Below are 23,598 nucleotides of genomic sequence, written 5' to 3'. Positions count from 1 at the left end.
TACGCCTTGGAGAACAATGCCTTGTCATTACTATTCACTTTATGACCATACAGTGCCTGGCACCTGGTGGGCAATTGGTGAATGTTTTCACTATCCTCATCCTTGCCCTCATGAAACACTCCTTCTAGGTCCCACAAAGACCGTTGGTATTTTATGACAAAGTACCTTACAAATATTTTTCTTTTTTTAAAGGAGAAATTGTCGTAAATGAAGTCAATTTTGTGAGAAAATGCATTGCAACAGACACAAGCCAGTACGATTTGTGGGGAAAGCTGATATGCAGTAACTTCAAAATCTCCTTTATTACAGATGACCCAATGCCATTACAGGTGTGTTTTATTAGTACACTGTTTCATTCTATCAGGCTTTCAACTCTAAGTGGTACATATTATTATATAAAACATAGGTATGGAAAAGTTATAGTAGAAGTATTAGGTAATGCAATGTTTGGGATAAATTATATTAAGATTTAAAGTAAAGTTTAAGAAGAATGTTGGAACTTGCTAGAGGAGTATTAGTGAGAGGATTGTAAGTCACCTTGCTTTATTTATCCTCTGTGATCGTTCATTATATGTCCTTTTCATTAAGGAAGTTATTCCCTCTGTTGCAGATCTTTTAACCTGCTTATAAAAATGACATAAAGAGAAAAGGTTGTTTGCTAAATGATTTTATAAATGCCACACATTTTAGTGATTTCATAGGTTTTTTTGTTGTTGGGTTTTTGATTTTTTTGTTTTGAGCCTGGATCTCGCTCTGTCTTGTCTCCCAGGCTGGAGTGCAGTGGCATGATGTCGGCTCACTGCAACCTCTGTCTGCTTCCTGGGCTCAAGCTATCCTGCCACCTCAGCCTCCTGAGTAGCTGGGACTACAGGTGCATGCCACCACTCCCGGCTAACTGTTGTATTTTTTTGTAGAGATGGGGTTTTGTTATGATGCCCGGATTGGTCTTGAACTTCTGAGCCCAAGCAATCTGCCTGCCTCCCCCTCCCAAAGTGCCAGAGTACAGGCCACTGCACCCAGCTACCTTTTTTTTTTTTTTTTAAACTAATTAGTGTTATTTTCCTAAAAAGTTAAATTCTAATTTCTAGGAAGAGTGAAGAATAGTATCGATTTAAAAATTTTCAGTAGCCCTCTTGCTATTTTATGTTCTTACTGGAAAGTAATAGTTCCATGTAATTTTGGTTTTTAGAAGTTCAGGCATTCATTTGATTAACTTAAAAACCCTGGACTTTTCTGTCAGCCATTTTGTATTTTGTTTTATAAAGTATTATACACACTTACCCCTAGATCTTTCTTTATAGTAATTGTTCTTTAATGAAATATTGGTATATGAACTGTAAACTTTTAAATTTAAGGATCTAATAGTTTAGTGTAAGTATATTTCATGTAGTCACTCACTAATTTACCATAATTATTATACTGTACAAATATTTATTGTACTGTATATTTGTGTGTTCATTACAGTCTTATGTAGGTATATTTAGACTAAATTTAAGGCACTTAAAGATACCCACTGTGTAGGGACAGTAGCTTATTTGGATATAGGCTTGTGTGTTTCTCTTTGTTTTTAGCTTCATAATGATCATTGGCCCCAGACTTCACTGTAAATGAGAAGCAGATACCTGGAACAGCTTAAATCCAGTACCACTATTAGGAAAAAGTAAACCAGTGCCCTACTGACAGCAGATTGATAGTGTTAACTACGTCCTTAGTTTGAACATGCAAAACCTTTTCTAATGGTTTTTATTTCTAGTAGACTTTGTGCTTTAAAAAGATAGTTATTTTGCACTTTAAAATCTTCAGTGTGAAAATCAAACATGATTTTACCCACTTAAAATCTGATGACCTAAGAGCCCTTTTTTCTTTAATATGTTGTGGCCAGCTTATCCAGATCTAGACATGCAAATGCTTGCTGGTAAGGTGATTGATGATATTCCCTATCTTAGGTATTATAATAAGATTGTTGTGTACATTTTAACCTAATTTCTATCTGTCAACATTGGAATGGCCCTAGCTACCTAGACAAAAGCTTTTTGTGCTTTTTAGAGATAACTGTCACAGTTTATCATCACAGTTTAAGGCTTATACTACCATTGTGAGATTATTGGGAAAAGAATTAATATGAACATAATTTTTTATTCCAGAAATTCCATTACAGAAACCTTCTTCTTGGTGAACACGATGTCCCTTTAACATGTATTGAGCAAATTGTCACAGGTACGTAGTATTCCGTACATACTCTAAAAGTCAATTCCACTCTGGAAGTATTATTTGAAAAGTCATACCTCTCAAAATACTTGGATTGGCGTTTTATTTCTGTAAGTTTACTTTTGCCGTTTTTTTGAGTCCCGGGAACATAAAGAGGGATATGTTAATAAATTATTTTAAAAGGAAGATATAAAATGTATAACTTTTCATAGTTTCTAGGTTTTTTGTCCTCTTTTTAATTAAAATTAATCATTAAATGTGTCTAGATGGTGGTTTTATGCAAATAATCATTTAAAATATCTTCCAAAGCAAAGTTAAAACCAACCCCCAAGTTCTAGGAATTACAAGTATGAAACATTCTAGACAAGCAGAGCTCAAATGTTGGGTGACCTTCCAATTATTTTCACTAAGAATTTGTATTAAAGGGTGAGTAACAAATAACTGTTACGCATTTTATTTTCTCTATTTTTTTTTCTTTTTTAGTAAACGACCACAAGAGGAAGCAGAAAGTCCTAGGCCCCAACCAGAAACTGAAATTTAATCCAACAGAGTTAATTATTTATTGTAAAGATTTCAGAATTGTCAGATTTCGCTTTGATGAATCAGGTCCCGAAAGTGCTAAAAAGGTAATACTGTTAAGGTTTATCAAGTTCTGGGTTCTGTACTGTGTTTACTGATTTCAATTCCGTATGGCAGTTTTCATTTCTCAATTGCTCAGATGTTTTTTAGGGGAAGTTATCAGACATCTTCTTAAGTAAAGTCAAAGCCAAGAATATTAATAGAACTATTTTCTTGGATTGGTTTATGGCTGTTTTAAAGTGTTCTATATAACTTTTTATCAGCTTCTCAAATATTAAAGACTCTTACGTGGAAATTAGCATTTTTTTACATAAAGATCATTACTTGTCAGTTTCTTGGTTAAAAGGTTGAAAAGTTGGTGATATACTGTAATTAAGGTTTGGTTAGGCTTTTAATTCAGTACTGCAGAACTTTACCAACAAACTGTAAGCTAGACTTATGTTACATAAGATTTAGGTAAATATATAATTACGGGAAAGGCCTAGTAATTATTAGTGGTTTAAAGAAATATTATGAATTGAGTGACACTCAACAGGGGCAACACAAAGCTAGTAACTTTTTAACTGCCTTATTTTTCCACGGCCTTCCAGATAATGACTTATTACCCTACTTGTAAGAGTCAAGGGCATGTTTTCCATGTTTTGCTTTGCCAGAGGAGTGAAGCTGGTAGACCTAATATGGCCCCCGTTCCAGTCTGTGCTGCAGCAAATGCAGAGTCACAGACTTTCCAGTAGGAAGCTTGCGCGTGTGTATGGGAATAGGGCAACAGTATCTTAGTATAATAGGACGTGGCTTTCTCTCAGAATGGAGGCAGTCTTTGCACCACCAAGCAATGAGTGCCTTTGTTTTCCATGGTTAGTCAACTGACTGCAGTAAATCTTCTGTTGATACCAAAACAAGGCTGGCAAAAATACTGTAAGGCAGCTGTCTTCATATACTTTGGTGAAGAGGTGGTAGATTTGTTTTTAGATTGAGAACCAACAGTTTCTTCACAGGAAGGCAAGCAGGAGATGAATATATGAAAATACATCTGAAAATATGTGACTGTCTAGCAGAGTAGAGTGGTTGTAGGCTCCTCTATGGGTAAAAGTTTTCAAATGGTCTGTATAACCATCTCTCAGCAAGCTGCATTATTGAAAATTCAACTAGATAACTCTTAAAGCCTCTTTCACCTGTTCGATTGTGCTGTTTGTGATTTTGGCATTTTACTAATTTAAAGTGCCTATTATATAGAAGGACTTTAGAATTCATGATGTATTAGACTGTACATAAAATATTTCAGACAGGTTAATTCCTCAAGCTTATTTATATTTGTAATTTAATTGATCAAAGCATCAAAGACCTGCTTATGAAAACCTTAAGATGTGTAGCATCTCAAGATTAGGGACATCACAGAACTTGCTAGATTGAGTTAGGACAGCATATTCCTAAGGAAGAAATTGATGCAATTGACCGGATCTCTTTCGGAAAGTTCAATTCTCCCTCTTTTACTGTATTTTTCAGTTTACACTATTTTAATGAGTGGAAATAATAATTATTTGGCCTAGTTCTTGAACCATCTGTAGTACTTGTTGGTCATTTTTCATGTTGAGGCAGTGTGCTAAATTTTGCAAGTAGAAAGAAGGGTAAGATGCAGTTTCTTGCCCTAGAGAACTTAAATCTAGTGAAGAAGATAAAGCATGAACAAATGAAAAGTAATGGTACAAAGTGGCAGCATAAAATCAACTACACAAATAGTTGATTTCCAGATGAACAGAGCATAATAAGTGCTGTGGAAATTCAGAATATCCCCTATGTGTTGTGCTGCTGGTTCATGAAGAGGGCCTTACTAAACCGTCTGCACAAAACAAGCCAGTCCCTCATATGCCCTTTCCTAAGACCAAGTTTCAGACAAAAATCTTTTCCCCAGTATCCTAAAATATAAAAAGCATGTGAGTCTCTGTCTTTTGTATAGCCACGGGGGTTGCAGGGCAGGGGAGGGTGCAGGAAAAAAAAATAGATGCAATGAGAATATAAATAGTTTTTTTGGGATTTACGCATTTCAAACAGGGTTAAGTTGTATATGGCTACCAAAGCTTGACGGCTTTGTGAGTTAAAAACAAAAATTATGGCATATTCTTTTATTTCAAGTGAAAAGTTTTCATCTAAAATTCGGTAGCAGTTAGGAAATTATGGCTCATTTTTACCTCCTGGAAGCTTGGAATACTGTTTTCTCTGGAAAATGCTTTGCTATTTTATCAGTTGCTTTAAAATGATGAAATGCATGTTTGGAGTTCTCTGGTGGGTAAACCGTTGATTCATTTTGAAATACCTAAGCCATTTATGTTTTTGTTTTGAAAAATGAAATTCAAGAATACTAAATTGGTTCACATTTTGTTAAATGTTCTGAACCCTTCTGGTTGTCTTGTTGGTGTTGTTTCAATTGTATTATGACAAAATTAGATTGCTTTGGGCACTTGTACTCATTAATATTCATCCTCATTATCCTCGAGCTGTCACAGGAAAATAGTGATATTTGGGAAAGGTCTGTATAAAGAAAGAAGGAATTTGATGGTGCAGAATTGGACATCTAACCTCATAGCAACTTAGAACCACCATTTTCTTTTGCAGAACCTTTGCTCAAAACTGAAGGGCAAAATAATAAAGGTTGTTTTTAATGATTTATCTATATATCTGTCTGTGTAGATAAAGATAAATATATAGATACACATGAGTGACAAGTGAAATACATGCCTTTTGTCTCCACTTTGTTCTCTGATTAGTGGGTTGTGAATCACTTCTTCAGGAATACTTTATAGAAGTGAATTCCATTCATCTGATTAAGGAACAAGTTGGCCTTTTCATGAACTGTCATTTTTGACTTGAATCTGGTACTGTTTTTTGGTGGCTTTCAGGCCACAGAAATAAACCACTTTTGTTTGCAAATGAGATAGAACTTAATGAGGTTTGAGTGTTTCCTGGATTTGAGTTTCTTCAGTACTGCACCCCAGGTGATCTTAGGAAAGAAACCATCCACTGTGGGTACTTCTGGCTTCTGTCCAGAGAAGATTATCAGCTTTGGTCCAAAAATTGATTTAAAAGTAGTTTACTTCTTTTTCTCCAATAAAATATTTGCCATAATTTAATGTCTTTAATACCAACATTTTCTTCATTTCCTGTGGTAGCCAGGACAAATGAAGTATTTCAGATCTTTCAAAAACTCTTAGGATGAAAGGTAGGAATTTGGACTTAGGTTTTTAAAATAGTGTGTATGTAAAAGTGCAAAGAATGGGGCCCTGGCTTTCTCTTCTCGGAGTGTTCCACAGTAACAACATGAAGACAATCCAGGTACACAAGTTTGTATGTGCCTTAGTCTGTGTGTCCAAAGAGGCCTCTTACTTAGGTCATATGAACATAAGTTATACACTTGAAATTCACTACTGAAAAACAATGTATTTAGTTCGAGTTCTGCCACCCCAAAAAAATCAACGAGTAATTCAACTGACTTGCAGTTTTACAATATTTTTATAGACTTCTTTCAGCGTAGATGCTTTTGGACATACTCATTTGTTTCCTAACCTGATGTGATATTGTGCTATTTTTAAGGGGCTTTTAAAAAATACGCTGTGTTGGGTTTTGCCTTGAAAATAGGCTTTATTTCTTTTTTGCCTCATGGCCACAAAAAAAGGATGTCCATGATCAATGATCTGTGAATTTCTTTTCTGTAAACAGAAAGAGCATGTAACTGCTTTCTAATTGTTTTGGAGAATGTGATAGACATTAGTATTATTATTATTGGCTTGGAGCATTTTCCTTAATATGTTGGTAACTACTTTTGTCAGTGAATATTAGTGTAGCCACTGTTGGACACAGAGCACCGTCAGAAAGCTACTGAAGTGGTGCTGCAAAGTGCAGACATCTTCAGATCTTTACTCAAGTCTGTGCAGAGAGGTCTTTCTTGGTCTCCTTCTCTACTTTTTAGCCTGTCTCCCTCTTCTCACTGTAACACTTCATATTCCCCTTCCCTGCTCTATTATTTTTCTCTTTTAGCATTCATAGTTATCTAACTTTCTGTATTTTTTCTCTTTATCTTGTTTAGTGTCTGTCTTCCCACTAGAATGTAAGCTTCATGAGGACAGGGATTAGTGTCTGTTTTGTTCACTGCATCTCTAGGGCTTACAACATTGTAGGTACTCAGTAAATATTTGTTAAATCAATGTGAAATGTGTCATTTATCCTTAAGGAATTGACCTTCATGGTAGAAGTGTAACAGAACCACCTATATCCTACTTTTCATCCACATCATAACTATTATGTGAATACCTTGGAAGTAAAGCAAAATAAGCACTTAACTAAAGAGACGCTTTATATTGAAACTGTTGTTCTGGGTTTCTGGAATTAGTACTCTGAAATTGGCTCCCTCTAGGAAGGCTTGTGAAGAGAGTAGTGTTGAACAGACATGACAGTTTCCAAGAAAGCATAGTTGGCTAAGAGGAGTAGGATTTTCCAAGCAAAGAGTGTGACAGTGGAGATGGCTGGGGCTAAGTCAGGCAGAATGTGTTCAAACCTGTTTTTCTCTGACCTGAGATTGCGGAGGGAATATTGGGAAGGTATAGTTACCTGGTGAGGAGAGCCAGTTTTGTGAAGAATCAAGAATGAGGAGATTTAATTTGTTATGCAGATGTCTGGGAACCACAGCAGATTATCAGGAGAGCAAAATTGTTAGTCAGAATTACATCGTTAGAAGGTAATCCTTAAGTTTTGTAGATTTCTAGAATGTAAGGAAGCTCTCAGAGGTGCCATAAGGTGAGTATGGCCTAAGGATGTGGCTATGGCAGTGTAGCAAAATGGACAACTATGAAAAATGTCTAGAGAAAAGTGCAACATAGCTTATCAACGGTGCCCAAACAAATAGGAAGGATGAGAACTTTTTCAAGCTACAGATTTCAGTAGTTTTGCTGCTAGAAATGCTTTAAGGAAAACTGTTAAAAAGATTAGGAATGGGAATATAGATAACCGGCTCCTAAATTTTGCAAGTGGGACCGTCATAGAAAGCTCTCCTATAGGTATTGAGAAATCGAGATACCACGTAAGTTTCAAGAAGCAGTTTTTTTTTTCTTTTTGGTCAAAACTAATGACAAATTCTGTCCCCTTGTTTGTATATTTTAACTTAGTGAGACAGGAAACATTTATTCTATAGAAGACTTTTAAAATGTAGTTTAAACAAGTTGACACATGCTTACTGGTTAATGAAATGTGCATCAACCCACTCCAAACACCACTAATTTGACATGAACTAACAATTAACTTTTCTTACTCACTGTCAAAAGTATATCATTCTGCCTTAACTTAACGCTTTACCTTCTAAATAAAATTTAATCTTTTAAATAAGTTTTTCTGCTATGTTTTCCTTGCATATGTCTTAAATTTCTTCTTTCGTCTTTGCTCACTGAAGAGCATTTTCTCCCACATTCTAGTGACTACCAGGGTTTGTAAGCCTAGAGCACCATCCTTCATTCTATCTAGCAGCAGTTGAGAATAATAACAGCCATATTTCTATATATGGAGCTCCTCCAAAGGCCTAGCCTGCATTAAGCTTGTTAATTCTTACCACAGCCTAGGTATTACTTTTGTTTTACAAGTGAGCAAACTGAGGCTAGAAAAGAGGAAATGACTTCACACATGTTATGTAGCAAGTACTTGACAGAGCTAGGATTCAAGCCCCCTGATCTGTTTGATTCTAAAGCCCGCACGTTTTCCACCACAGGGCACACAGTCCCAAACCATTTTACTTAAACACAGTTTGTGTGTGTGTGTGTGTGTGTGTGTGTGTGTGTGTGTGTGTGTTGTTTTTTTGATGTACCTCTTTGAGCCACCCATGCATTTTTGGAGTTTCTTGCTAATTTTAATTTTTTGTAATTATGTTTCTCTATTTAGATGTTTAAATCCATGAGGCGTAAACTTTAAAGTTTCATGCCTTATATTAATCCTTTATAGTCCACCAAAAATGAAACTTTTTTCTTCCTTTTTTGGAGTGGACATGTAGTCACTGCCTTTTTGGAGAATGCTTCTTTAGTTTGAAGCTTTCTTTATTGGACTAAAATTACTTTCCAATTAAAATTTAACTCAGCAAATATTTACTGAATACTTGCCATGTGCTAGCTAAAGATAAACAATGTCTTGAGGGCATGAAAGTGAATGAGATACCTGGCCTTAAGGAGCTCTTTTATATTCTAGGTCAACAGAAAAACATGTAAATAGTATCTATAATCACTGCCCCAAGATGATGCTCCCAGTGCCCAAGGCCTTATTGTACATTTCATTTAACTAAGTGTGTTAAAATCAAATTCTAAATGTAGAATTTTTCCTAGGTATGCCTTGCAATAGCTCATTATTCCCAGCCAACAGACCTCCAGCTACTCTTTGCATTTGAATATGTTGGGAAAAAATACCACAATTCAGGTAAATATGAAAATATTAAATATTGTGACTAATTTTACATGTGTAAATTTTACTCTTATGTTTACCGGAAGCCTCCAAGTACATGAGCTTTAATGATTGTAGAATTACTAGCTTCATACCTTAGAGAAGTAAGCACTACATGCTAAAAGAGCCAATAGTTTGTCAGATTATTTCTTGACAAGTTACCAGGAAGAACCTTTAATGCTATGAATATGGGCTTATAAGTTATGTCAGATATTTAATCTCCAGTCACTGGCTTGTATTTTATGATGAAGAATATATAACCCACCCTTTTTAATTGATAGCTTGAGTTAAAGTAATCTTATCTTTTAAGAAAACTGGCAGAAAACTAAAAGATATATTAAAAGCATAATCTTTTCTGGCAAGGTGTGATTTCATGCAAAAGCTAAAGTGATTAAAAACTTTTTGTGGACTTCATTAAGATTCTCAGAATACTGAGTTTCTATTTCTGAGTAATACTGATGAAAGGAAGATGAGCATTTTTCCAAGGACAAGTATATTCTAGACAGCTTTTGTGAAAGTAAATAGTTTTGTCTATATATCTGACAGTCATGACATGACCAGGGAAGATTCCAGATGATCATGCAATTCTGTACATTCTGTTTCGTACAAATGTAATTTTAATAAACAATTTTTAAAAATATCTTGATAGAGAAAAACAAAGAGCCGTGTCTCCTGTTAGCCCCATTGTCAGTTAGTGACTGCAAGTCAGTTAACTGAGCGAAGCCTGTGTTCTTTTATTTAAGCAAGAAAAATAAATCAGCTGTGTATTTATAATGAAAAATCCATTCACCCAGCATGCTCTGGGCCATACAAATTATTAATTGTACTGAAATTTTATATTTTGTTACCACGAAACATGGTAGTAATTTAAATAACTGGCATAATAAAAGTATATTCCAGCAACACTATATTGTAAATACATTAAAATGTATCAGTGTACGGTATCTGAAGATGCATGTGTATAAGTAAATTTTCCTTAGTTTAAAAGATAACTACCTTTCTGTTAAGCACTGAGAGGACCAAAAAAAAAAAAAAAAGAAAATACAGTAGAGATAATATATGAAAATAATGCTTTGCAGAGCAGCTTTTATCATACAGTATTATATTTATAGAAATTGTATAACAAAAGTATTTGTAACTTAATTTTTCTTATCGATATATACATAATTGTAACTGAGGCTTAAGCAATACAGTTATTTTTTGAAGTTTATTAATATTAAGTAAATTCACTTACTGTCTAAAAATAAAGTATACAGATCCTGCACTATTAGGTAAACACTCCTTGGGATCATCGTCAAGCTACAGAACAGTGATCAAGGTTATCTTCAATAAGATCCTCACCCAGAGTTGCAAGGGTTGTAGGAGTGAGTCTTTGATTCCTGCTCAACTGTTTATGATACAGACCAGTTCTTCATGCTGCTGTTTTTCCAATAGAAATGATTCATTTCAGTTTACAGATCCATAACTTCTACAGTAATGTAGTGACTTGGGCTCAGCAAAGACAGTAAACTTCATTATACAGTTGGTAACCTGATGCCTGCTTCAGTTACTTTCCACATTTTTCTTCATTCATACCTTGTGGGCATCTCTGGTTTACAGTACTTTAGTTTATCCACCCATAGGTCTTCTACTACTGGAATTTTAAAATCTACATCATTCAGTTCCACTATTTCTTCTTATATAGCTTATTGATAAAATTTGATGATTAATACTGAAAATATTCAGGGATGCTTTTTTATATTACATCCTTCAGACTCCTCCTTTGACAAGTACCTCATAAACATAACACTGGCCATAGTTTTGTTAAGATTCCTCGTAGGGTAACATCCTTTAATATCCTTCCATGCTGTTACAGAAGCATAAATACTGCATCTTTAAGATCAAAAGGAGCCTGAAATTTCCACACACTGCAGTCAGAATTCATTAATTTGTGAGTGAAAGATGCCCACTCATCCACTCTTGAACTTCTGGATGACACCTTGATTCATTGGCTGGATTAAAGAAGTCCTTTTTGCAGGCAGGTAGGTGACAAAGCTGTTTCCACAAATAAGATCCAAAGTTGGAGGAGCTCCCCTGCAGTTATCTGAGAAAATGATATTTTAGCTGGCCTTAGTCACTCAGGTTTTCATTCATATTCAGTATCACATGAGGAAAAGCCATCTCTGAAAGGTCCTGCAGTCATCCCAACACTTCTGTGAATATCCTGGAGTAAAGTAAGATGTGTAGCACCCAGGCTTTGGAACATCGCTTTGCACAAACACCCCAGGAGATATTACTAGCACAAACAAGAACAATGATTCTGTTTTTTCTCTTTTAACTTTAAAGAAACCATGAGGACTCTGTTTTCATCAGTCAGATTATTATTGGGCAAATAACGTCAAAAAAGTACAGATTCATCTTTCTTATAGAATTGATAAGATGTCAGATTATGCTTCTGGACCAAAAATATTGAAAGTTTCATGAAGTTATCTGCAGCCTAGTGTCAGCAACTGCTTCATGACAGACATCCTGCTTACAGATGCTGTGATGTAATCTGAAGTTGTAATGAAATTTCACATCAGAAGTTGTACATTTTCAGTGACATTTAATTTTATCCTTTTTATTAACATAGATCTTGTTATTAGATTTTCCTTAAAATGCCTATTTGAAAAACACAAGGTACACAATCCATTTGAAACAGTATAGGAATTTTTAAACTTTGTTGCTTAAGATTCTCAGAATAGCTATAAATGATTGTTGAATATTGGTGGTTCCAGCCAGCTGTATACATCAGGATTACTGGAGGAACCTTTAGAAATGCAGCCATGTTGGCTCCAGCACAGGTCAGAATCTCCCAGTTAAGAACCACTTTGTTGACTCATGCTTTTGAACTGATTAATACTCACAGTCCTCTTTTTACCTTATTCCTTTGTGACTTCTAATTTCTGCAGTATCATCAGAGTGGTGGGCTTTCTTTTCATATATTGATGACTTGTATTTTCTGTTGCTTGAAGCCATTCTAGATATCAATTGGCCAATTCAGTGGAAATTATCTAAAATAACCCCAACAGTATAGGATTAGACTTTTGTACTGTCACAGAAGATAGCCAAGGTCAGGAGCATATAATATCTATTTCACGCTTAGTCTGCTGTGGAGGCATGTCATAAAACCTCAGTCAGGTAGCGGTCAGCGGAGCCAGGTCTCCCTGAGATGACCCACCTTTCACTGTGTTGGTCCAGCCCCTCATAGCGATCCACTCATAGAGCAGGCCACTGGTATCAGGTCTTTTGAACTTTGGAAAGCATTCAAATTTCTGGACTATAAAACCAGATTGAGTATACATTACACATTCTGTAATGAGCTCTAACTGAAGATGATATAGAACATATAAAAGACCTAGTCCCAGTTGTTTAGAAAAGTACAGGATTTGAACGAGAGAAATGGCAAAAATAACAAACGATAGAGGATCTCACTTTATGCTTAGAAAATATAGATGTTCTCATTTTACGTTTAGAAAAATTTGTGTAAGTTAGATCTTGAAACAAAATTTGGCCAGAGAAACAATCTCATAAACAATAGCACATTCTTAGCCTAGCTTATTAAAGTCTGCAACCCAAAACACTAAAAAGTATTCAGTGCTGCTGGACTCAGTCACCAAACTGTTTTACATAACTGTTAAAATTTTGAGTGTGTTTTTTATAATTCTTTTTTGGTGGTGGTGGTTTTATTGTTTGGCTAGGACTGCTGGTTCAGTGTTGAATAGCAGTAATATTAGCAGGCATAATTTCACTTCCCGCTTTTAATGAAGATGCTCTTAGCTATGTCTTTTTGATAAACACCCTCTATCCAGTTAAGGAAATTCCCTTTTATTCCAAACTTGCTAACGTTGTTGGGTTTTTTTTTTTAAGTCATAAACAGGTATCTATCATATGTTTTTCTGCACTTACAGAGCTAGTCATTCATATAGCCTTTTTCGTGTTTAATGTAGTCATATGATGAATTACTTAGATTTTCTAATATTGAATAGCTTTCTTTGTTTTGGTGCACTGGAACACTGTATAGATTGGGCTTTGCCAAAAATTCCATATGCAGGTTTTGTGTTCTGGAGAGATCATAACTCCTAAGTCTTCCTTCTCACAGACACGCTTTTTAGTTGTGTTACTCCAGAGAAGGCCCTGAGATGGAGTGGGACTCTAGGATGTGGGCTTAGAATGAGCATTTTACTATCTATCTATCTATCTATCTGTCTGTCTATCTATCTATCTGTCTATTTATTTTTGAGACAGAGTCTCGCTGTGTCGCTCAGGCTGGAGTGCACTGGTACGATCTCGGCTCACTGCAAGCTCTGCCTGCCAGGTTCACACCATCTCCTGCCTCACCCTCCCAAGTAGCTGGGACTACAGGCACGTGCCGCCACACCCGGCTTATTTTTTTTTTTTTAGTATTTTTAATAGAGACAGGGTTTCACCGTGTTAGCCAAGATGGTCTCGATCTCCTGACCTTGTGATCCGCCCACCTCGGCCTCCCAAAGTGTTGGGATTACAGGCATGAGCCACCGCGCCCAGCAACATTTTACTTTTTAATGAGCTTTGTTAAAATCAGAATCACTGGATAATTCTGATACCACTTAAGAGGAGTCCAAATTCCTAACATAGCCCCTCCGTAATCTAGAGCAGCACCGTCCAGTGATGGAAGTAGGGCAGCCACTAGAGCCACTAGCCACATGTGGCTGTTAAGTACTTGAAATGTGGCTAGTGCAACTGATGGACTGAATTTTTAATTTTATTTAATTTTCATTTCAGTTTAAATTTAAATGGGCTTGTGTGGCTAGAAGTTACGTTTTTGGGAAACATACTAGAGTCTAGGCCCTATTTGATTTCCCGCCTCTCTTCCACCACCTGTTGAATCCCTATGCTCTAGCTGTATTTAGTTACTTGATATTATACAGTTATACCATCTTTTTAAAGTTCTTCTCTGTCTAGCATGCCTACCTCCTCCTCACCAGCTACCTGGCAACTTTTGACTTGTTCCTTAGAACTCTCTTTAGTTGTGGTCAAGTCATGAAGCTTTTCCTGCCCCGGCCTCTCTCTGCAGCGAGAGTTAGGGGACTTCTCTTTTGCATCTTCATTGCACTCAGACATCTGGTACTCTGTGATTATCACACTTATTAATGCTCTCAAGATAGAGATAAAATCTTATTCATCTTTTTGCTCTCAGGCATTAGCACATGGGGAGTTCTCAGAAAATACCTGTCTTATACCAGGAATTAATGAATAATCAGTAGGAATGAGCATGACATGTTCATGGGACGTTGGAGGGTAGTGCATGGCTGCAGAGGAGAATGGGAAATGAAGGTCAGATAAGTTACGTGAGGGATCTCTAAGGCCAAGAGAAGCCATTTAGGTTTGATTTGGTTGGAAAATGAGCTTATTGAAAGTTTAAGGCAAGGGACTAGCATCATGAACACATCTTTTTAGGGAAGTGTGTCTTGTGGTAAGCTGCTGGCTGGTTTAAATGCAGCAGAATATTCCATTGGGGATGCCAGCTGGGAGACTTGCCACAGTTGCAGCCTGCAGCAGAAAGACCCTGGGCCAGAATGGGTTGTGCCATCTGTCACCAGATATTGCCAAGGTAGATCTGGCTGACTTTGTGGGACAGCTTGTTTCTCAATAATCACTTTGCAGGCACTCTTGAGGCTGTGAGCATGCTCCCAGAAGATAGCATTACTTCTCTCTCAGAGCAGGCTCCTTTCTAAGGAAATGCAAGTCTAGGCCTGCCCTGCTGTAATCTTCATGTGGAAACAGCACTCTAGCAAAGAACAAGGAACCTGATGAGCTTTTCAAAGGAAAATCGAGTAGATACAGGAAACCAAGAATTTTCTAATGAGCAGATAGAAAAGAGCAGGTAGGTGAGAAGTTGGTATTAGAAAAATTAAAGATTTGAAGGGCTTGAGGACAGAGATGATTGTTGGATGTTTCATTTTTCCAGGCAAAATATGTGGAGCAAATAATCAAATGACATGGACTTACCCCACAATTAGGGACGGAGATGAGGAAGGGTTAGGAATAGTTTCTGTTAGAATGGTAGGGATGGAAGACAATTGAAAATTAAAGAGAAAATAAATGGAGAGGAAATCTAGGCAGCAGCCATTCTTCATTCTGGGGGAAGGTGGTCAGGAAAAGGAAGGAAGAAAAATGTATAGCATAGTAGCTAGAGTGGTCCGGCGTGATCAAAGTGTTTTCAATATCATGTTGACTGACCTGTTTACGTTTGAAGGCAGAGAAGATAGAGCCAGTAGAAGGAGAGAAAAATCAAAGCTGTTTTACGGAGTTGTGAAAGAGCTGGATAAGGACAAGACTAAATGAGTTATTTTTAGGCCAGGCGTGGTGGCTCATGCCTGTAATCCCAGCACTTTGGGAGGCCAAGGCAGGTGGGGCACCTGAGGTCAGGAGTTCAAGAGCAGCCTAGCCAACATGGTGAAACCCTGTCTCTATTAAAAATACAAAAATTAGCTGGACATGGTGCATGGTGGCAGGTGCCTGTAATCCCAGCTACTCAAGAGGCTGAGGCAGGAGAATAGCTTGAACCCGGGGGGCGGAGGTTGCAGTCAGCCGAGATCATGCCAGTGCATTCCAGCCTGGGCGACAGAACGAGACTCCGTCAAAAAAAAAAAAAGGAGTTATTTTTAAATGGAAAGGGCAAGACAGTTCTCGGAGAGACTTGGAAGGTGAAGCAGGTTAGAGACAGCACATCAGAGTATGCATGTGACAGGAGGCTCAGAGAAGAGGGAATGCTGGGGAAAATGTGACTGTTAAAATTCATAATGTTGCTTTTTCCTACAGCAAACAAAATTAATGGAATTCCCTCAGGAGATGGAGGAGGAGGAGGAGGAGGAGGTAATGGAGCTGGTGGTGGCAGCAGCCAGAAAACTCCACTCTTTGAAACTTACTCGGATTGGGACAGAGAAATCAAGAGGACAGGTGCTTCCGGGTGGAGAGTTTGTTCTATTAACGAGGGTTACATGATATCCACTTGGTAAGTACAATTTTAGCAATGTTATATATGGCTGGAAGTCACTTCCCTATGAATAATCATCAAACTCTGTTGTCATTGATGACTTTCAAGTTGTGGTTAATGGAATATTTGTTTTTAATAATGTTTTAATAAATATTTTATTTTAAAGATCAAGGCTTATTAATATAAATTACGGTATCCCTTAAAAGAAGTTGATAGTAATTCCTTACTGTCATCAGTAGTCAGTGTTTATTGCATTATATCTTGTAACTGGTGTTTTACAGTTGGTTTGTTCATATCAGGATCTAAAGTCTTCACATTGAATTTGCTTAATATGTCTCTTAGGCCTTTTAATCTACAACAGTCTCCTCCCACCTCTTTTTTACCTACTATTTGTTGACAAACCAGGTCATTTGTTCCCTAGAATTTTCCACATTGTAGATATTGCTTGTTTTATCCCCAGGGTGTCCCGTAATGTGTTCCTCTGTCTCTAATATTTCCTTTAAAATGTTAGCAACAGAGGCTTAATCGGATTCAGGTTCAGTACTTTTGGCAAGAATGTTTCATTAGGTGGTTCTGTGTTCTCCTGTGGAGTCACATCCCATCTCAGGCTGGCTGGGCTGTGTCTCTCTCATTGTAATCCTGACGACCAGTGGGCTTAGAGGGTGTCAACCTGATCCACCCAGTAAAAGTTCCCCTCTTATATCATGGTTTGAGCTCCCAAAAATAGTTTTGCACTGGGAGGGAGGATCATTGCTCAGATCGTTATTTCACTAAGGATTGCTATTGTTCACCTTCTAATTCTATCATCTTTCTGCTTTTATCGAACTTTTCTCTCACCAGCTCTTTAGTGCCCTGTAACACAGTTCGTACAAGAAAAGCAATATAAATATCTACATTTTCTCCTTTACTTAACATTTTTCCAAATAGTGAGCTGGTTCCCTAGGGGATCTTCTAGAAGTGACTAGGAATTTGTTTTTTTAATTTGTTTAATGTCATTTAGTTATTATGAATTTTTTGGAATGCCTTATTTTAAGGTCATTGAAGTCCTCATTAGTTCACGCACATAAGCAGCTTTTTAGAAAAAGGAAGAAAAGCACTACTGTGTTATTACTGGTTAATCCAGTACCAGGAACTTCTAGTACAGTTCTAGAAAGGTGCTTTGCAGCATGTAGCTTGTATCTTTTGCTTCCCCTGGAATTTAAGCTTCAAGGCCAGCACACTCTGGTATATGTGCTGAGAAACATGTGATGGGGCTGCCCAGCCACGTCGGGGAAAGAAGGAAGATGTCTTGAGGTGCAGTGAGCTTGCCCACTAGTAATTATTGTCTGATCAGTGTCCTAGAGTCTGACTGTGCCTTTTAGGCATGGGGAAAGGTAGAAGAGGGACTTAAGAAGAGAGCTAAAGCTCCTGGTAGATTTGTGGGGTTTTCTTTTGTTTGCCTGGTGTCCTTAACCATAGCCTGTCAAGAGAACAAAGGTGGATATATTTTTCAGTGAACACATACATGTTTAATAGTCATTCTGGAAAATATTTCTAATACCTTCTTTGGAATTTTCTCATGCTATAAATTTAGATTTTTAAGAATTGGTCATATCGCACCAATTTTAGACTAAGAGGTGTAGGATCGTCACTGCCCCCCCATGGTGCCCACCATGTGGCTACTAAGTGGGGTGCACATTAAATGCGGACAACTTGCTTAATTATTTATAGGGTCTGCAGGAGCACACTATTCCTGCTTTTAGCACAGCACTCATATAATTTTTTTTTTCCCCTCCAGCCTTCCAGAATACATTGTAGTGCCAAGTTCTTTAGCAGACCAAGATCTAAAGATCTTTTCCCATTCTTTTGTTGGGAGAAGGATGCCAGTAAGTGATTTCTGTTGGATTTTATGAATGCTGACGTCCATTGTTTCTACACAGTGAAGTAAGGATTCTACCTCTCCCCTAGCTCTGGTGCTGGAGCCACTCTAACGGCAGTGCTCTTGTGCGAATGGCCCTCATCAAAGACGTGCTGCAGCAGAGGAAGATTGACCAGAGGTAATTGAGAAATGGTCATTGTCACTTTAGATAGTTTTACTTGTTGTGTAACTACAGTGAGTTCCCTACTAATTGAAAATAACAAAATGCATAGTCTTACTAATTAGTTAGCACCATGTTTTATATAAGAATTGCCATTTTGAAAAGAATGTGATAATATTAAAATTAACTGACATTGGAGTTACACTAAATATAATTTAATTATTTGGTTTGTAAGACACTTGTGGATCTTACATTGCTGACATCTTGCTATAGCATTTCCTATAACATACTTTCAAAGTGCAGTGATATCCAGTTGAGACACTTCAGGATAAATCAAACTTTTCTTGTAGTTTGATGTGTCTTATTTAGGTCTACACATTTGCAATAGCTAGAACAGTGGTTTTAATTAGCCACCACAGACGAGTCTGGCATCATCTGCTGTGGTCATTAGTAACCTCCACGTCATTAAAGTAGGAGGCCTTTCTCAGTTGTGCTCATAGCAGTGAGCAATACTATTGATCACTCTCTCCTTAAACCCGCCTGGGCCCTCAGCCTCTGCTCCTCTCCACTCTCCTGAAGCTCCTCTTCCTCACTGGCACTCCGTGCCTTCTGCAGACCCATCCTCTTCTCTCCAGACATTACACAGATTCTAAGGCCGCTTCCTCATGTTCTGTATTCTTTTCCTAAAGAAGTTTCCCCAAGAATGTGGCTTTAGTGACCAACACATTTATATCTTCAGTCTACCTTGACTTCTACATGGAGGTCTCAAAGACCCCTTAAACTCATTATGTCCAAAACCAAACTCAAGGATATGGCCTCCATGCCCTCCCCCAGCCTGCTCTCAGAAACCGGGGGGTCATCCTGGATGCCTTCCTCTTTCTTTCCCTTCCCCATCACCAATCCCTCCTCAGGTTTTCTCACTTCACTTTTCAGACACCTTGCAAACCCATGTGCTTCCACAAACCCAGCTCCACCTCTGCCTGTGTGTTATAAGTGCTATCATTTCCTCCTTCCATGTCTCCTCCACCCCTGGGCTCCAGCCCCCTGGACTTTCCCTGGTGTTTTCAACCTCCTGACATTGTCCAGCGCTCTTCCCTTCTGGACTGCCTTCTTTGCACTCATCTGGGAACACTCTCCACGCTTACCCACTTGGCACTCCTTGTTTCTTTTTTTTTGAGACAGAGTCTCACTCTGTCACCCATGCTGGAGTGCAGTGGTACGATCTCGGCTCCCGGGTTCAAGTGATTATCATGCCTCAGCCTCCTGAGTAGCTGGGATTACAGGCACCCACCACCACATCCAGCTGATTTTTGTATTTTTAATAGAGACAAGATTTCACCATGTCGGCCAGGCTGGTCTCGAACTCCTGACCTCAGGTGATCCACCCGCCTCGGCCTACCGAAGTGCTGGGATTACAGGCGTGAGCCACTGCACCCGGCTCACTCATTCTTTATATCTCAATTCAAACATCATTTCCTCAAGATAAGCCTTCTCTCCCCTCTAAAGTTTGATCAGACCTCAAAAGTCTATGTTCTTAGAGCTCCTGAGTTTTTAACATTTATTTCAGTTTTTAATTATATATGTGTGTGTTACAGTTTGATTACCGCCTGTCGTTTTTACTCCATGAGATGAGGGACTATGTCTGTTTTGCACACCGTTATATATTTAGCACCCAGGAAGCATATATGATATTTATTCAATACTTGTTGAATAAATGAGGAGTAAATGAACAGATCTTATAAAACAGGCTTATGGAGCCTCAGAAATTGTGTATCACAGTCCTTTTTGGTACAGCCAGAGTGTAGGGTTTTTCCACTGTACCGTAACTGACAGAGCCATATTCACTGAAGCAAATAACCATCAAGTGACCCTCAAATGACCTTCAGTTTTCTGGAAAGGAAGGTGACTATAGTTCACACGAGTCCGTATTCTCTGTGGATTTTGATTTACCTGAACTCCATTTGGAATTAACTGTCTGCTGTGTCATACTCCAAGCCTTGTTTTCATTAGCATACATGCTGATGAAGTGCACAGTTAGGAATTTTGCTGTTAAAGGGACAATTGTAGCATTGTTGGGTGAGAGTTAGTTATAAAACCTTATAATCAGTGGCAGTTTCAGTGATTTATTAAGCTGAAAATTACTTTAATGCCTTTTGTGTTTTCAGCTATCCTATTCTTCATAAGTAGAACAGATCCTCTTTTTTGTCCAACCTCGTCTCCTAACCTTTTTCCCTCAGGTGTGTCATCTAGCCCCACTGGCCTTCTTTAGGTTTCTCAGCAGCCATGCTTGTTACCTGCCACAGGGCCCTTGCACTAGCTGCCCTCTGCCTAGAACATTTTCACCCCAGATCTTTACATTGCTTCTCTATTCATTTAGGTTTCGGCTTCAGTACCATCTTCACAGAGCAGCTGTTTTTCACCATGTGACCTAAAGTAGCCTGTAATCTCATGATTACATCATCCATGGCATTCACCACAGCCCATTTATCTTATCATCTACCCCACCCCACGAAGAATGTCAACCCCCCACTTGCTTGGGCAACACCAGTAGTAAAATTGGAATGATACAGGGAAGGTTAGCATAGCCCTTGCACAAAGATGACATGCAGGTTCATGACACATTACATATTTTAATGAAATGGGAGCATATTCTTGTTATTTAATTTTTAAAAATCAGTTTATCAAGCAAATGTACAGCGCCATTTTATTTTTCATGCCTACATTAAATTCCATACACATAAAGGTGCATAGAGGAAACCTAGAAAGATTGCACCAAAATTTTAGAATTCTGAGTGATTTTGTTTTTCTTATCTTTTCTAGGTGTTTTTAAACATTCCACACTAATTTATATTACTTTTTCTATTCAGGAAAAAAAAAAACAACAGCAGGGTTTTGTTTTGTTTTTTTAAAGTGGTGTGGAAGTTACCCATTGAATATAGATGGGAATCCCAGTCCTGGCTGTTTCCTTTGAAAAGATCTAGAGACCCCATGGCACATATTTATAGTAGCCCATTCTCTCCTAAGAATAGAGGAAGGGTGGGAGGAATTTTGGTGAATGTCTGTACTTGCAGTTTATCCTACAGCAAATCGTTAAGACTGTGGGAATAGGTGCTTTGCATTCTCTAGAGCTGGAGAATGTGCATCTGGTTTGCCATCCTTCTGTCTACATCATGTGGAAAGATGTGGGAGTGTAGGGTCTCCTTAATCTAAATGCAGTGCTGCCCCGCCCCCCCCTTGGCAGTGTTTCTGTTTCCCAGGCAAGTGTTCCAATGGATGTGCTTTATTTTCTCCCATCAGAAATAAGGGAATGAGCCCGGGCGCGGTGGCTCACGCCTGTAATCCCAGCACTTTGGGAGGCCAAGGGGGGTGAATCACAAGGTCAGGAGTTTGAGACCAGCCTGGCCAACATGGTGAAACCCCGCCTCTACTAAAAATACAGAAATTTAGCCAGGTGTGGTGGCGGGTGCCTGTAATCCCAACTACTCGGGAGGGTGAGGCAGGAGAATCGCTTGAACCCGGGAGGGGGAGGTTGCAGTGAGCCGAGATGGTGCCACTGCACTCCAGCCTGGGCGACAGTATGAGACTCCGTCTCAAAAAGAAAAAGAAGGAAATGATCTAATTTGTTCTGTGCACTGCACGTGGGGGTGGCAGTGAGGTGAATGGCAGCATTCTGCAGTAGTCAAAGCCAGATGGGTGGGAGAAGTTGGGTGCTAAGAGGGAAACAAAGTTTACCTGTCTTCTCCTTGATTTCACTCTCAGTTTTATGAGAATACAGAAAAATCATGCAGAGAAACCTGATGGAATAGTCTCTAAAACTAAAAAATAAGATAAGCAATGGTTCTGTCTTAAAAAAAAAAAAGTAAACTCCATGAAGGCAGAGACCTTACCTGTCTCATTCCTCTCTCTATCCCCTGGTCTATAGTAAGGGTTAAATAAATATATGCTGAAATGAATGAGTAATGACTAAAGTATTTTTGTCTTTATTAGGATTTGTAATGCAATAACTAAAAGTCACCCACAGAGAAGTGATGTTTACAAATCAGATTTGGATAAGACCTTGCCTAATATTCAAGAAGTACAGGCAGCATTTGTAAAACTGAAGCAGCTATGCGTTAATGGTAATTTCATTCTTATTTCATATATATAATGAACACAGGATACAGAGTTGCATGAGATGTCAGGAAAAGTGATGTTCTTAAAAATGTAGAAATAGATATATTTAAGGAGTCTATGGAACTATTTGTACAAATTATATATTATTGTATGAGAACTTCAGAACCTCCTAAGGAATTAAGTTTAAACTACTTTTTGTTTTAGAGGGGGAAAAATGAGTGTATTAAATTTCCTTCAGATGATGAAAGGTATAGGAGAATACTTTTATAAAAGCATTTGCTGAGTAGAACACTGTATTACCTTACAGACAAACTTATTAAGATTGTAATACATACAGTTATACTTTGAGATAGGTGACTTGACATGGGTATCAAACAGCTGTGTTATATCTGTAGCATCAGAATTCTGATATATCTGAGCAAACGTACCAGGTGGCTTTCATGTGTCCTGCGGGATGAGTCACATGAAAGCATCTTTGGTGTAATGTGGGTCCTCCTCAAGAGATCCTCTAAGTCACCAGGGAGTCAGCAAAGGCAGCCTTGCAGCAGATCTTGAGCAATGAGTAAGCACTTCCCTGGGGGAGGGCCTTGCAGGGGCGGGGCAGGGGCAAGTTGTTGAAAAAACTAGTGTCCTGAATGATTATGTGCACTCTGGGCAGGGCAGTGAGGATGCCTGTCCTCATGCAGTGGCTAGCCCTCGGCCACGTGAGCCATGCACAGAGGCACCACTGGCAGCAGGGGTGGGGCAGGGAAGCAGGAGGGCAAGGCTTGCAGTGAGAAAGCCAAGGGCTAGGGCCTGGGCAGCTGACCTCACAGGTCAGGAGGGCCAGGATCAAGGCATAGGCTGAGCAGGGACGGCTGGAATTCTTAGCTGTTGGGAGTCAGAGTTGGTTGGACTCCAAGATTTCCCTGAAAGAGCGAGAGAGAAGATGATGGAGCCCCAGGGGAATGCTTTGTTTTGCTTTGTTACAGAATTGTAATGTCTTCTTAAATGCTTATTCCATGTTATTAAAGTGAAAATGCATGATATTTACTTAAAGCTAACTTTTAAATATTAGAAACTGATGTATCTCTTTACTCTGATAGGGATCGTATAAAATAAAAAGTAAAAATGTGTATGTATATAATTTATTACAGAGCCTTTTGAAGAAACTGAAGAGAAATGGTTATCTTCACTGGAAAATACTCGATGGTTAGAATATGTAAGGTTTGTACTTCT

At 38.2% G+C, this 23,598-nt stretch overlaps 1 protein-coding gene and 1 pseudogene across 7 annotated transcripts in view, besides 1 other annotated feature; both read left to right on the top strand.

Moving 5' to 3' along the window:
• Window positions 1-23,598, top strand: part of MTMR10 (myotubularin related protein 10) — a 72,913-nt gene that overhangs the window by 14,481 nt on the left and 34,834 nt on the right. For 5 of the 7 annotated variants that reach the window (XM_011521737.4, XM_047432771.1, NM_017762.3 and 2 more), the window contains exons 3-11: window positions 193-329; window positions 2,145-2,217; window positions 2,692-2,834; window positions 9,138-9,228; window positions 16,075-16,267; window positions 18,027-18,114; window positions 18,197-18,285; window positions 22,255-22,385; window positions 23,517-23,586. In XM_011521737.4, the coding sequence (XP_011520039.1) occupies window positions 193-329; window positions 2,145-2,217; window positions 2,692-2,834; window positions 9,138-9,228; window positions 16,075-16,267; window positions 18,027-18,114; window positions 18,197-18,285; window positions 22,255-22,385; window positions 23,517-23,586 (1,015 nt within the window). Of the gene's footprint in view, window positions 1-192; window positions 330-2,144; window positions 2,218-2,691; window positions 2,835-9,137; window positions 9,229-11,113; window positions 11,274-16,074; window positions 16,268-18,026; window positions 18,115-18,196; window positions 18,286-22,254; window positions 22,386-23,516; window positions 23,587-23,598 lie in introns of those variants that run through there. The other 2 variants (XM_047432770.1, XM_047432772.1) reach the window with 2 other exon arrangements.
• Window positions 20,798-20,900, top strand: RNU6-466P (RNA, U6 small nuclear 466, pseudogene; annotated as a pseudogene).
• Window positions 22,620-23,146: an enhancer, noted in NCBI's record as "H3K27ac-H3K4me1 hESC enhancer chr15:31246205-31246731 (GRCh37/hg19 assembly coordinates)". NCBI's record gives its function as "activates a minimal SCP1, AML or CMV promoter by ChIP-STARR-seq in naive H9 embryonic stem cells {active_cell/tissue: H9 hESC(naive)}" and the evidence as "EXISTENCE:reporter gene assay evidence [ECO:0000049][PMID:30033119]".

The sequence above is a fragment of the Homo sapiens genome, chromosome 15, assembly GCF_000001405.40.
Source record: "Homo sapiens chromosome 15, GRCh38.p14 Primary Assembly".
Lineage (NCBI taxonomy): Eukaryota > Metazoa > Chordata > Mammalia > Primates > Hominidae > Homo > Homo sapiens.
The sequence above is the reverse complement of the archived record's forward strand: the minus strand, read 5'-3'. Positions and strand labels throughout refer to the sequence as shown.